Consider the following 13,587-nt stretch of genomic DNA (forward strand, 5'->3'; position numbering starts at 1 on the left):
ACATTTGCTTGTTTAGTCTTTCTCTCTCTAGTTTTTCTGAACAAACTGAACAAGTAAACTGCAAACATGATGTCCTTTTACCCCTAAGTACTTTAATGTATATTTCCTAAAAGAAAAAGACATTCTCCTTTTAACCGTTATCAAATCAGAAAATTAACACTAATAGTATCTAATCTGGTACTGTATTCTTTTAATGTAATTGGTTAAGCAACCTTGATGAAATTCACTAACCTTTCTGAGCTTCAGTGTCATCAGTAATACAAAGTGAATAATAAATCCCAAATGGTTGTTATGAGCAATAAATGAGTCAATGAATGCAAACTATACGCCGTGAGTGTAAAACAGATGTTTATTATTATTCCTGGGAATATTTAGTAGTATGCTCATTTAAAAAGTGCTTAATTTCTCAGAGTCTGAGTTTCACTATTTATAAAGTAAGAAGAGGCTATTAGGGCCAAGAATTCAAATACCTTTGGGGACCAAGCAGGTAACGTTAAATGTGTGAAGCTGGCAAGTACAAGAAAATCTGGAGAGACGGTTATTGTGGCAAATTGGAAACAGCATGCCAATAGGCATTCAAATTTACATTAAGAACAAAACAAAACAAGGTAAAACAAAACGAACTGTGCTGTTCAAACAAATTCCATAGGCCTAACGCGGCCCTCTGAATCTCTCAGAGAAATTGCAAACCCTGGCCTAGATGACCTCTAGATTCCTTCTAGCTCCAAAGTTCTATAAAATTATGCTACATAATTATAATTCCAACTGCATGTGGAACTTAAAGGTGCTGCAGTACTTTTAAATAGGGCAATTTAAATAATGTAATGTCTTTTTAAGACTAGTTTTAAGTGGGGGCACTGTGGCTCACACTTGTAATCCCATCACTTTGGGAGGCTGAGGTGGGAGGATGCCTTGATCCCAGGAGTTCAATACCAGCCTGGACAACATAGGGAGATCCTGTCTGTACAAAAAATTTTAAAATTAGTAGTGGATGGTAGACCATGCTTGTAGTCCCAGCTACTCAGAAGGCTGAGGTGGGAAACTCACTTGAGCCCAGGAATTTGAGGGTACAGTGAGCTATGATTGTGCTACTGCACTCCAGCACGGGTGAAGACAGCATTACCCTGTCTCAAAAAAAGAGACTAGTTTTAGCTTATAATAAAGAGGCTCAGAACAGTAAAATAAAATCAGAACTGTCTAAACTAAAATTAAACACAACTTTCACTAGATTATAAGACTATCCCCGAGGATTTATTAAACAAACAAAATTATGAAAAGAGATGCCAATGAAAACCAGAGAGAAGAAACAGGATACATGAATTCCTGCAACATGGTACAGATGTCAAAATACTACTCGAGGATAGTTTTGTTTTGTTTTGTTTAAAGAAGGGTGTAACAATGGATGGAGGAGAGAAACAGACAATTCAAAAAGGAAGAAACGTACGATTGATAAGTAAATGAAAATGATTTCAATTTCTCAAATAACCAAACAACTGAAAATTAAGAGTAAGATCCATTTTTGTCCTTCCAACTGACAAATTTTTATTATGCCCCATTCATCACATTTAACTGGCAATCTTATTTAAATCATCAGGTAATGCAAATAACATAAATGTTCACAAAGTAAAATGTCAACTCCTACTACTGATAATCCGAAGTATGTCCTTTGTTTTTTCTATTTCTTTTTTCTTCTTTTTAAATGTTTTCTATATAAAAATATAGAAAACCATAAAACAAAGTAAAATGCATCTACAATTATACACCTTTTTATAAGCTGTCTATAAAATAAAAAGTGATAATCCTAAGGCATTCTTTACTCCAACCTCACTGGACTCCAATATACCCCTGTCCTCCAGCCCTACTAGCTTTCTGGTACATATAAACATATTTTTTTTTTTGAGGCGGAGTCTCGCTCTGTCGCCCAGGCTGGAGTGCAGTGGTGCAATCTTGGCTCACTGCAAGCTCCACCTTCTGAGTTCACACCATTCTACTGCCTCAGCCTCCCAAGTAGCCGGGACTACAGGCGCCCACCACCACGCCTGGCTTATTTTTTGTATTTTTAGTAGAGACAGGGTTTCACTGCGTTAGCCAAGATGGTCTCGATCTCCTGACCTCGTGATCCACCCGCCTCGGCCTACCAAAGTGCTGGGATTACAGCTGTGAGCCACTGCACCTGGCCTCATATAAACATATTATAAATTATCCTTTTATACAGATTTTTAATTATTTACAAAAATGAGAGAATACTATACATCTGTCTAAACCAATGTATAGAAGATAAGCAAAGGTTTGTTTTAAGGATAATACCTTCTATTAGAGAAAAGGTACTGTAAAATAGGTACCCTCCTACACTGATTTCTACTGATTATAGAAATGTATCATTTTGTGTACCCTTTTGGAGGCCAATTTAGTAATATATAAGAAAATCTTGAAAATATTGAAAACCTTTGGACCAATAATTCTACTCCAAGAGATTTATCATTACGGAAGTATCAAAGATATATTAGATATATACAAACATTTACATTTAAAGATGTTCATCATTAAATGTCTTACGTTAGGGCAATTTGTAAATACAATACGCAATATCCTTATGCTGTCATCAGGTAACCATTAAAAACCATGTATTTTGAAAATGGTTTAACATGGAGAAATGCTCAATATAATGGTCAATGAAAAATGCAGAATACAAAATTACATAACATGAGGACATAAAACAAATACTACAGTTATATAGATCAATGTGGATGACTTTTTAAAACTTAATATTGGTTAAAACAAAGCATGTCACAAAAGATTACATACAGTATGATTCAACTTATATGAAAGTCAAAAACAGGCAAAACTACAAATAAATATAACATAAAAATCTGTAATAGGAAGGGACTTGGAAATAATGCCCCAATCACTTGCTAGTAGCTCCTCCTGTACTTTCTCAAGTGGGAAACGACTATAAAAAGACAGGGAGCAAACAGTTGGCTCCAAAACCTGGAGGGAGCAGCTTTGTACAGGCAGTTGTCATCAGGGTTCTGGGACTTGGGTAACCCTAGAGAGCTCAATTTCAAATTACTTCCAAAGACTACATGAAGAATATCATTGAAAGAAAATGCAGTATCATACTTATTTGTACCAGCAGAATCAATGATAGGTATTTAAAAAAAAAAAAAAGCTTTCTGTAGAAAATCCAAATTGATCTTACATGGCTCCAGTTTTGGAGATAGGGCAAATATATTCTGCCTTGAGCATCCACATGTTTTCCGACTAAGATTCCCATATTTGCAGTTGGCTTCAAGAAGCAAATAGGGGGAGCGAAAGGGTGAGAATCCAAAATCCAGAAACGAATTGGTATGTTATATGTATTACCTATTTGAGACAAAAGAAACATATCTTCAAACAATAATAAAGCACACACATTATGATATAGCTAGGCGGCATTTTAAGAAATGAGTAGGCTGGGGTGGTGGCTGAAGCCTGTAATCCCAGCACTTTGGGATGCTGAGGTGAGCAGATTGCATGAGCCCAGGAGTTTCAGACCAGCCTAGGCAACATGGAGGAACCCCATCTCTACAAAAAATTTTAAAATTAGCTGGGTGTGGTGGCACACACCTATAGTCCCAGTTACTGGGGAGGCTGAGATGGGCAGATGACTTGAGCCTGGCAGGTGAAGTTTGCAGTAAGCCATGATTGTGTCACTGCACTCCAGCCTGGGTTACGGAGTAAGACACTGTTTCAAAAAAAAAAAAAAAAAAAAGAAAAGAAATGAGCAGTCTAGTCAGGTTTACATATAAAGGATTAATGTTAATCAAGGCCTATTCCCCCCCATTTCATCCACATTCACATTGGAAATATGTTCCTATTAGATCACTGGTATAACATTTGAGTAAGTTTAATTAAAACAATGGCCAAATCATCCACCCTGCCTCTCAAAAAAAAAAAAAAAATCAAATTTTCAAAAATGTTTACTAATATAGCCAGAGTGGCAGCCCAAATCCTGATGGAGTCACTTCCTACATTAATCACTACACATTAAAGAAAAGGAAAGAAATGTCTATTGAAGGCCGGGCGTGGTGGCTCACACCTGTAATCCCAGCACTTTCAAGGTGGGTTGACCACTTGAGGTCAGGAGTTTGAGACCAGCCTGACCAACATGATGAAACCCCATCTCCACTAAAAATTCAAAAAGTTAACCGGGCATGGTGGCAAGCACCTGTAATCCCAGATACTTGGGGGGCTGAGGCACAAGAATGGCTTGAACTCAGGAGGCATAGGTTGCAGTGAGCCGAGATTGCGCCACTGCACTCCAGCCAGGTGACAGCGCAAGACTCTGTCTCAAAAAAACAAAACAAAACAAAAAATGTCTATTGAAGGTATTCCCCTGGTTGATCAAGGATCTGCCTCCACCAATGCCCCTCCCCAGCAGTATTCTTGCATTTTAACAGCCCATGACTGGCAAAGCACCTGGTGACTCAGATTCCTGTGTCTAAACGTTAAGATTTCACCACTAGTTCACTAGTCTCTTCTTCCTTCCCTCTTTCCTATCAGCAAATACCTTGACTCCTACCCTGCACATCTAGCTTTTAGTAATTCAGCACTGAAGAGTCCGAACTCCTGGCACAAAGTCCTCAGATTTAAAGGAATTATATCATAAGAACATAACTTAAGTTGGATGTAAACAAAGTTTAGATAGGTGTGATCTTAAGATGATACATTGGTAGGCCAAAATGGGAGGACAGCTTGAGTCCAGGACTTCAAGACCAGCCTGGGCAACAATGCAAGACCCTGGTGTGGTAGCACATATCTGTAGTCCTAGCCACTCAGGAGGCTGAGGCAGGAAGAATGCTTGAGCCCAGAAATTTGAGGTTACAGTTAGCTATGATCACACCACTGTACTCTAGCCTAGGCAACAGAGCAACACCCTCTCTCTTAAAAGAAAAAGAACAGCCCAGGAGTGATGGCTCACGTCTGTAATCCCAGCACTTTGGGAGGCCAAGGCGGACAGATCACGAGATCAGGAGATCAAGACCATCCTGGCTAACACGGTGAAACCCCATCTCTACTAAAAATACAAAAAATTAGCCAGGTGTGGTGGCGGGCACCTGTAGTCCCAGCTCCTCAGGAGGCTGAGGCAGGAGAATGGCATGAAACTGGGAGGCGGCGTTTGCAGTGAGCCGAGATCGCGCCACTGCACTCCAGCCTGGGCGACAGTGCGAGACTCCGTCTCAAAAAAAAAGTAAAAGAAAAAAAGATTACATACATCTCTAAAAAATGAGTGTTTGAAGAAAAAGTATCATTATAACTTAACACAATGTTGGCTGTATAAGAAATAATACCAAAAATTTCTAGAGGTAAACATAAGGTAATATTAACAGAAGTTCCATGCAGATGGGAGGATAGATATAGGCTTCACTTCATCCCTTCCCAAATGTTTAAATTTTTTTTAGCATAAGCATGTATAATCATTACACTAATAAAACTAGTTAACTAAAAGAGAGTAATAAAGGCAGACAAGGCTGGGCGCGGTGGCTCACGCCTGTAATCCCAGCACTTCGGGAGGCAGAGGCGGGCGGATCACCAGAGGGCAGGAGTTCAAGACCAGCCTGACCAACATGGAGAAACCTCATCTCTATTAAAAATACAAAATTAGCTGGGCATGGTGGTGCACACCAGTAATCCCAGCTACTCAGGAGACTGAGGCAGGAGAATTGCTTGAACCTGGGAGGTGGAGGTTGCAGTGAGCTGAGATCATACCATTGCACTCCAGCCTGGGCAACAAGAGCAAAACTCCATCTCAAAAAAAAAAAAAAAAGGCAGACAAATAATAATGGCCACATTTACTGAGCATACACTGGCACACACTATATGCCAGGCACTATGCCCAGAGCTTTACTTACTGTAATTCATTTAAGCCTTACAACTCTGAGGTGGGCTCTACTATTGGCCCATTTTACAGATGAGAAAGATAATATACATTCTGACCTTCTGATCAGCAGGAAATAATTAGTGTGCATTCACACTGAGTTGATATAATTCCAAAGCAAAGGAAAAGTGTAATGCAGGAAAAAAAGGTGGGGGGAGCACCTGAGGAAGACCCCAGCATAAGAATCAATGACATAACTCAATGACTGCAGGACAGGCATAGTGCCAATCAGCGGGATTTTACCAATGGTATTAAGATAACCTTTCTGCCCTCATGTTACCGCCCTACTCTGTATTAGAAACCGAAATGCTACTAAGCAGTAATTCATTTAAATTCACAAGCTCCTCTGTTAATATGCAACTACCCTTGAAAACACTGGGGTGGGTTAAGAATTAGCCTTTATCTCTCAGAATGAATCACCTTAATCAGTTTCCTTCCCTCTTCCTCTCCCTTCCTCCTTTCCCTAATACCCTTCCCTTCCCTTTCTTTTCAACGTCTAACCAAGATAAATTCAGAATACAACTTAAGGGGAACAGGTCTGAGTAAAATTCTCTACACAGCCAGGAAACAGTCTAAAAGCTTGGCAGGGAAGACCAAGGAAAGAAAAGAAAAATCAACTCTATGCCTGTTCTGCCTACTTCACTCTGCAATCTCTGCATGGATCCCATGGCTAGCTGCATTCATCTCCATCCATTCTCCTATGCATAAAAACAAAATGAATTCCTACACATTTCCTGAGTGCCTACTATTGCAAAAGGAGGTATCATGGTGGGACATACACAGAAGCAGAACAAAACATGAGTGCATCTCTAGCAACAAGTCATGACTGGGGGTGGGGAGTGGGGAATTAAGGGGGTTTGTGATAATCCAGGAGCTACCACAAAGAAGCACCTACTTTAAAAGAAGTCCCCGCAAATGCAGCTTCCTAGTGTCTTTTGGGCAATGTATTCTCATTGTACAATGCTGAACTCTTTTTAAGAGATCAAAGTTACGCTGTTCTCTCCCTATTTGGTTTCCAGATCTTTCTCAGCCCCCCTTTCAGTGTATCTTCTGTTTCAAATGCCCCAGTAAGCCACTTATTCCTAAGCCCTTCAGTCAATAATCAAACTAACTCCACTGTTCAACAAATACCAAAAATGTCCTTTAAGCACATAACTGTATATTAGTGATTATGGATGTTATTTGTCCTGGGATTATTTGCATTTCAAAAGAACAGTGAACTTTTATTGAGACTGAGTCTCACTCTGTCACTCAGGCTGGAGTGCAGTGGCACAATCTCGGCTCACTGCAACCTCTGTCTCCTGAGTTCAAGAGATTCCCCTGCCTCAGCCTTCTGAGTAGCTGGGATTACAGGCACGTGCCATCAGGCCTAATTTTTGTATTTTTAGTAGAGATGAGATTTCACCATGTTGGCCGGGCTGGTCTTGAACTCCTGACCTCAAGTGATCTGCCCACCTAGGCCTCCCAAAGTGCTGGGATTACAGGCATGAGCCACCACACCCGGCAAGAACAGTGAATTTCTAATGGTGAAATTTCAGGCACCACTTCAGATAAATATTTGGAAACAAAGATTCACTGGTGTTCTTAAAATCATACTATATATAAGCAACCTCTTGTGATTCTTATCTGAAAGGTTAGTCCTTGATGAACACAGGAGAAGTAGGTCTGGAAAAATGGGAAGAGTTAAGTGTAAGAAAAGTCAGTGATTTGTTTTCTTTTATTTTTGGGCAAACACTTAGCTATTCTAAACTGCTAGGTCACTCTAAAATGTGTTCCTTTCTTTGAGCTTTAATGGCTTCTGTGTTGTAAAATTTTCCTATTGGAGTCTGAGTTTCAGGCTAACACTAGCTATGTGATCTTAGGTAAATCAGACCAGGCTAAGATTCAGTTTCACCTATGGAATGGAGATAATGCTATATCACATAGAGAGGAAAGGAGGGGAACAAAATATAGGTGTAATGAAGAAAAAAGTAACTCTCCCCAAGGGCAGGCCTATGTCTGTCTTGCTTTCCTTTGTACCCTGGAGCCTTTCAGAGTAGTGGTAGTAGGGGGTTTGTGATAATCCAGGAGCTACCACAAAGAAGCACCTACTTTGAAAGAAGTCCCCCCAAAATACAGCTTCCTAGTGTCTTTTGGGCAATGTATTCTCATTGTACAATGCTGAACTCTTTTTAAGAGATCGAAGTTACGCTGTTCTATTTGATTTATCTAGTTGATAGTAAGTATTTGTTGAATTGAACTGAACTTGTTGACATTAATACAGGCCTTCCTTGACTGGAACAGATCCAGTAAGGTTCTGTATAGGTCATATATCTGCAATAATACTTTAAGAATGTTATGGCATAAACAAATTTAAGTTATTAAATGAACTGCTCTTTTAGAAAACTCACACATTTTTTCAACTTCCACACTTACCCTGATACATCACAGGAATTGTGCCAGTAAAATTCAGCAGGTCTTTCTGAGAACTATCTTTAAAAACTAGAAGAAAAAAAAAAAAGCCCCAAAATGTGCAATCAGAAACAGAAAGAACTGTAGTAAAGTATGTAAGTGTGCACATGTGTGTGCTCATGAATATACACACACAAATACACACACAATCTCTAAACATAATCTAGGAATCGGTAAATCTGTCAACAAGAGGAAATGACTAGATGTTGTTTACTTAGAAAGCAGTAAGGGTAGCTGAAAGAATACAGGACTTTGATACTGAAACCCCAAGTTCTAGGGCCACCTTCCCCACTTAGAGGAATGTGACTTTTGGTGACTTTAATCATCTTTGATCTTCAGTTTTATCATCTATAAAATAAAGATAATAAGACTGCCTTACAAAGTTGTCATAAGGATCAAATGAGAAAATTTGAAAACTTAAGAAGTACTATAATATGTGGGGCCATTATTAAATAATTGTCAATGTCAGTTGCAAAGCAGTTCCACTCCTCTCACCTCGGTGTCAACACCTACCTCCACTACGCCCCCTCAGCAGGAAGAAGCCAGAGTGATCGACGGCCTTTTCCCATTTTCATTAGCCAACACCTTAAGATTAAGGTGTTTTAAAAATCCAAAGGGAGGGGTTGAAATTGCCTTTGCAAAATTATGACTGAGACAGCAAACAAGATCTAACCTAACCAACTCCGTCTTCCTTCTAACCTTTAAGCTGTCCTTGTTCCTTCCTGGGCATAGGCTGAACTCACTTTGGGAAGAACTTAATTTATAATTTATAGTTTAAAACAAAGACAATAACAGCCCTTTCCCAAAACAAACTTCCTTCTTGCCTGGGGACTAGACTGCCTTTGTAAGACTAACAAATTAGCCACAAAATTAAAAATTATGGTTTATGGCCGGGCACGGTGGCTCACACCTGTAATCCCAGCACCTTGGGAGGCTGAGGCAGGTGGATTACTTGAGGTCAGAAGTTCAAGACCAGCTTGGGCAACATGATGAAACCCCATCTCTATCAGCCGGGTGTGGTGGTTCCCAGCTGCTCGGGAGGCTGAGGCAGGAGAATAACTTGAAGCCAGGAGGCAGAGGTTGCAGTGAGCCAAGATCACACCACTGTACTCCAGCCTGGGCAACAGAGCGAGACTCCATCTCAGAAAAATAAATAAATAAATAAATAAAGTAAAATAAAATAAAAATTATGGTTTAGTAATCATGCACCTGGAAGCTTACAAGATTCTGGTCCTCCCTAAACTGCTCCTAAGATCAGTGCTTGAGATATTTTGCAGGCCCTACACTTGATGGATCAGCTGGCACCACCCAGATTGATAAACTGGCTCATCTGATCTTGTGGCCCCAACCCGGGAAGTGACCTAGAGCAAGAGGACAACTTCAACTTCCCATGATTTCATCTTCTACCTAACCAATCAGCACTCCTGGCTCACTGGCTTCCCCCCACCCACCAAGCTGTCATTAAAAACTGTTCTCACAATGCTCGGGGCGACTGATTTGAGTAACAGTAAAATTCCAGGTCTGGCACAGTGGCTCATGCCTGTAATCCCAGCACTTTGGGAGGCCAAGGTGGGTGGATCACTTGAGGTCAGGAGTTCAAGACCAGCCTGGCCAACATGGTGAAACCTCATCTCTACTAAAAATACAAAAATTAGCAGGGCGTGGTGGCATGCGCCTGTAGTTCCAGCTACTAGAGAGACTGATGCATGAGAATTGCTTGAACCTGGAAGGGGGAGGTTGCAGTGAGCTGAGATCGTGCCACTGCACTGCAGCCTGGGCAAACAGACAGTGACTACGTCTCAACAAACCAACCAACCAACCAACCTCCAGTCTCCCGCAAAAACAAACCAAAAAACAAAAAACAAACAAACAAAAAAACATTATCGCATGTAACAAAATCAGTTATAGTCACTTTTAGAACCAGAAGAAAAACTGCCAGCATTGCTTTCTAAAGCAAACTGTTAGATCAATAATTACCTTCTTTGGTTTCTCTAATTTCATTATTCTCAACCTCTTTTCAACATTCATATCTCTGAAAGTTCAACTTTCCCATCAGTAACTGGGACACACTGATAGAGAATCAACGCCCTAATCTCAGGATTGAGTACAGGAAACACTATCTCTGGTTTCAAACAATCAAACTACCTTGGAGGGGGGCCTTTGGGCCCTCATGAATGAGACTAGTGTCTTCATAAAAGAGCCCATGGTCGGGCACAGTGGCTTACGCCTGTAATCCCAGCACTTTGGGAGGCCGAGGTGGATGTATCAATTGAGGTCAGGAGTTCGAGACCAGACTGGCCAACATGGTGAAACCCCATCTCTACTAAAAATACAAGAAAATTAGCCGGGCATGGTGGTGGGTGCCTGTAATCCCAGCTACTCGGAAGGCTGAGGCAGGAGAATCGCTTGAACCTAGGAGGCAGAGGTTGCAGTGAGCTGAGATGGTGCCACTGCACTCCAGCCTGGGCGACAGAGCAAGACTCCATCTCAAAAAAAAAAAAAAAAAAAGAAAGATTAAGATAATAAAGTAAAATATTTCTTAGAAAACCAAATTCTTACTATTAGGTGAACAGAATAACTAAAACTGTTAATGATTTAGAATCAACCATATACATATGATAGGCCGAATAAAGGTCCTTTAAAGATGTCCATATCTAACCCTTGGAACCTGTGAATATGTCACCTTACTTGGCAAAGGGATTTTTTAGATGTGATTAGTGACTCTGATCACTTGGCTAGCCTTAAAAAAATTAAGGAGTCTGAGATGAAGAAATTATCCTGTATTACTGGGGTGGGTCTAATCTAATCACATTGGTCCTTAAAAGCAGAGAATCTTTCCCAGCTGTGGTCAGAGGGCGATTTGACTATAGAAGAATGGTTAGAGACATGCAACACTGCTGGCTCTGAAGATGGAGAAAGGAGACCAAGAGCCCAGGAATGTGGGTGACCTCTAGAAACTGAAAAAGGCAAGGAAACATTATCTCCCAGAGCCTCCAGAAACAAAGGCAGTTGACACCTGGATTTTAGCCAAGTCAAACCTCTAGTTTACTTTCTAAGCTATAGAAATTTGTGGTGGACTTCTTGCCTACAGAATTATAACACAGTAAACGTGTGTTTTTTAAAGCCACTAAGTTTGTGGTAGTTTGTTACAGCAGCAATAGAAAACTAATACAAGATACATTGTATTAATTTAAGCTTTCTCAGAAATTGCAGGTCATAAAGTATAGCTGAAAATCAGAGGATAAAAGAGAAAAAGAGAAATTACAATTTTGCAGCTCTTTAGGACCAAAAATTAGTAGTTCAAATAATGCAGCATTTAAACTAGAGGATATGATTCTTACCATAGGTGTCCATGGAATATTTGAAATGTGGGAAAAATACATTTACATTCCTTAGTTCTTCCACAGTTAGGTCCCTGAACTTGTACTGAAAAGAGAAAAATAAGCATGGAGTAAGAATAAAGCTGTAAGCAAAAGAACAATTGCAGTTAACTTTTTTTTTTTGAGACGGAGTCTCACTCTGTTGCCCAGGCTGGAATGCAGTGGCGGGATCTCAGCTCACTGCAACCTCCGTCTCCTGGGTTTAAGTGATTCTCTTGCCTCAGCCTCCTGAGTTGCTGGGATTACAGGCGCACGCCACCACGCCTGGCTAATTTTTTGTATTTTTAGTAGAGGCAGGGTTTTGCCATGTTGGTCAGGCTGGTCTCGAACTCCTGACCTCGTGATCTGCCTGCCTCGGCCTCCCAAAGTGCTGTGGTTACAGGCGTGAGCCACCACGCCCGGCCTGCAGTTAATATTTAACTGACAATTTACGGTGTGGTAGGCCCTGAGCTCTGCAAACAAGAATGGTATTTGATTTAATCTTTTTAACAACAACCCTACCAGGTAGGTAGGGCTTTACAACTGCTCTATAGGAGCAGGAGAAGAAAATGAAAGCTAGAGAATCAAAGTAACTTGCTGAGTCATATAGCAAGTTAAATAGTGAAGCCCGAGCTCAAATCCAGGACCAGAGTCTTTAATCTCTAAATCAAACTGCCTCCAAATACCTCCAGACAGCTTAAATGATGAGGCAGAATGGATCACCCCTCTCACCACTATGCAGGATCCAACCGTCTTTTTGGCACGGCTCATTCACTTGAGATACCTCGACTTTCCCCTCCCACCTTCCTGGCACTGCATCCTGGGTTTCAAATGGAAAACAAAAGCATGCAAGTTTTGTAGTCAGGTGTGTGAACTGCCTCTTCATTTATCCAGATGTCTTCTCAGAGATACTGACTTGGTTGTCTTGTGGGCAAAATCATTTAAATTCTTTAAGCTTATTTTCTCATCTGCAAAAATAAATAATACTTACCTCTTACACTAGTGGTTAGGTTTAAATGAAAGAAAATAAGTATATTAAGAGTTTACCATTCTGAAAATGGATTTGAGACAACAATTCCTTTTACAATGGTATCAAAAAGAATAAAATATTTAGGAATAAATTTAACAAGGTACAATACTTAGACTCTGAAAACTACAGAACATTGTTGAAAAAAATAAAATAGACCAAAGTAAATGGAAAGCATCCCTTGTTCACGGACTTGAAGACTGTATTGTTAAGATGGCAATTTTCCTCAACAGATTCAACATAATCCCTATCAAAATCCCAGCTGGCTTTTTTTTTTTTTTTTTTTTTTTGGCAAAGATTTACAGTCTCTAAAATTCATTTGGAAATTCGAGGGACCTAGAATAGCCAAAACGATCAGGAAAAAGAACAAAACAGCTGGTGGATTCATACTATAATCAAAAGACAGGTTATCATCAAAAGGAGAAAATAACAAGTGTTGGAGAGGATGTAAAGAAATCAGAACTCTCACACATACACCACTGCCAGTGGCAAAATGATGCAGCTGCTTTGGGAAACAGCCTGGTAGTTCTTCAAAAGACTAAATACAGAGTCAGGGTTACTACATGACTGAGCAATTAATTCCACTTCTAGGTATACACCCAAGAAAAATGAAAACGGGTACCTACACAAAAACTTGTATGCAATTGTTCATAGCAGCATTATTCATAATAGCCAAAAAGTGAAAACAATTCAAATGTCCATTAACTAATGAATGAATAAAATGTGGCATATCCATAAAATGAAATATTCAACCACAAAAAGGAATAAAATGCTAATATATGCTACAACATGGATGAACCTTAAAAACACTATGCTAAGTGAAAGAAACTAGA

General features: G+C 39.9%; 1 protein-coding gene across 8 annotated transcripts in view, besides 1 other annotated feature; it reads right to left on the minus strand.

Moving 5' to 3' along the window:
* Positions 1–13,587, minus strand: part of UEVLD (UEV and lactate/malate dehyrogenase domains) — a 59,126-nt gene that overhangs the window by 37,406 nt on the left and 8,133 nt on the right. For 3 of the 8 annotated variants that reach the window (NM_018314.6, NM_001040697.4, NM_001297771.3), the window contains exons 2-4: positions 11,710–11,794; positions 8,333–8,398; positions 3,200–3,363 (exon numbers count right to left, since the gene is read on the minus strand). In NM_018314.6, coding sequence (NP_060784.3) covers positions 3,200–3,363; positions 8,333–8,398; positions 11,710–11,794 — 315 coding nt within the window. Of the gene's footprint in view, positions 1–3,199; positions 3,364–8,332; positions 8,399–11,709; positions 11,795–12,413; positions 12,505–13,587 lie in introns of those variants that run through there. The other 5 variants (NM_001261383.3, NM_001261382.3, NM_001261385.3 and 2 more) reach the window with 4 other exon arrangements.
* Positions 12,014–12,195: a silencer, noted in NCBI's record as "fragment chr11:18600575-18600756 (GRCh37/hg19 assembly coordinates)". NCBI's record gives its function as "represses an EF-1alpha promoter that drives an FKBP-Casp9 reporter gene in an ReSE screen in HepG2 liver carcinoma cells {active_cell/tissue: HepG2}" and the evidence as "EXISTENCE:reporter gene assay evidence [ECO:0000049][PMID:32094911]".

Source organism: Homo sapiens, chromosome 11, assembly GCF_000001405.40.
Source record: "Homo sapiens chromosome 11, GRCh38.p14 Primary Assembly".
NCBI classification, from domain to species: Eukaryota; Metazoa; Chordata; class Mammalia; order Primates; family Hominidae; genus Homo; species Homo sapiens.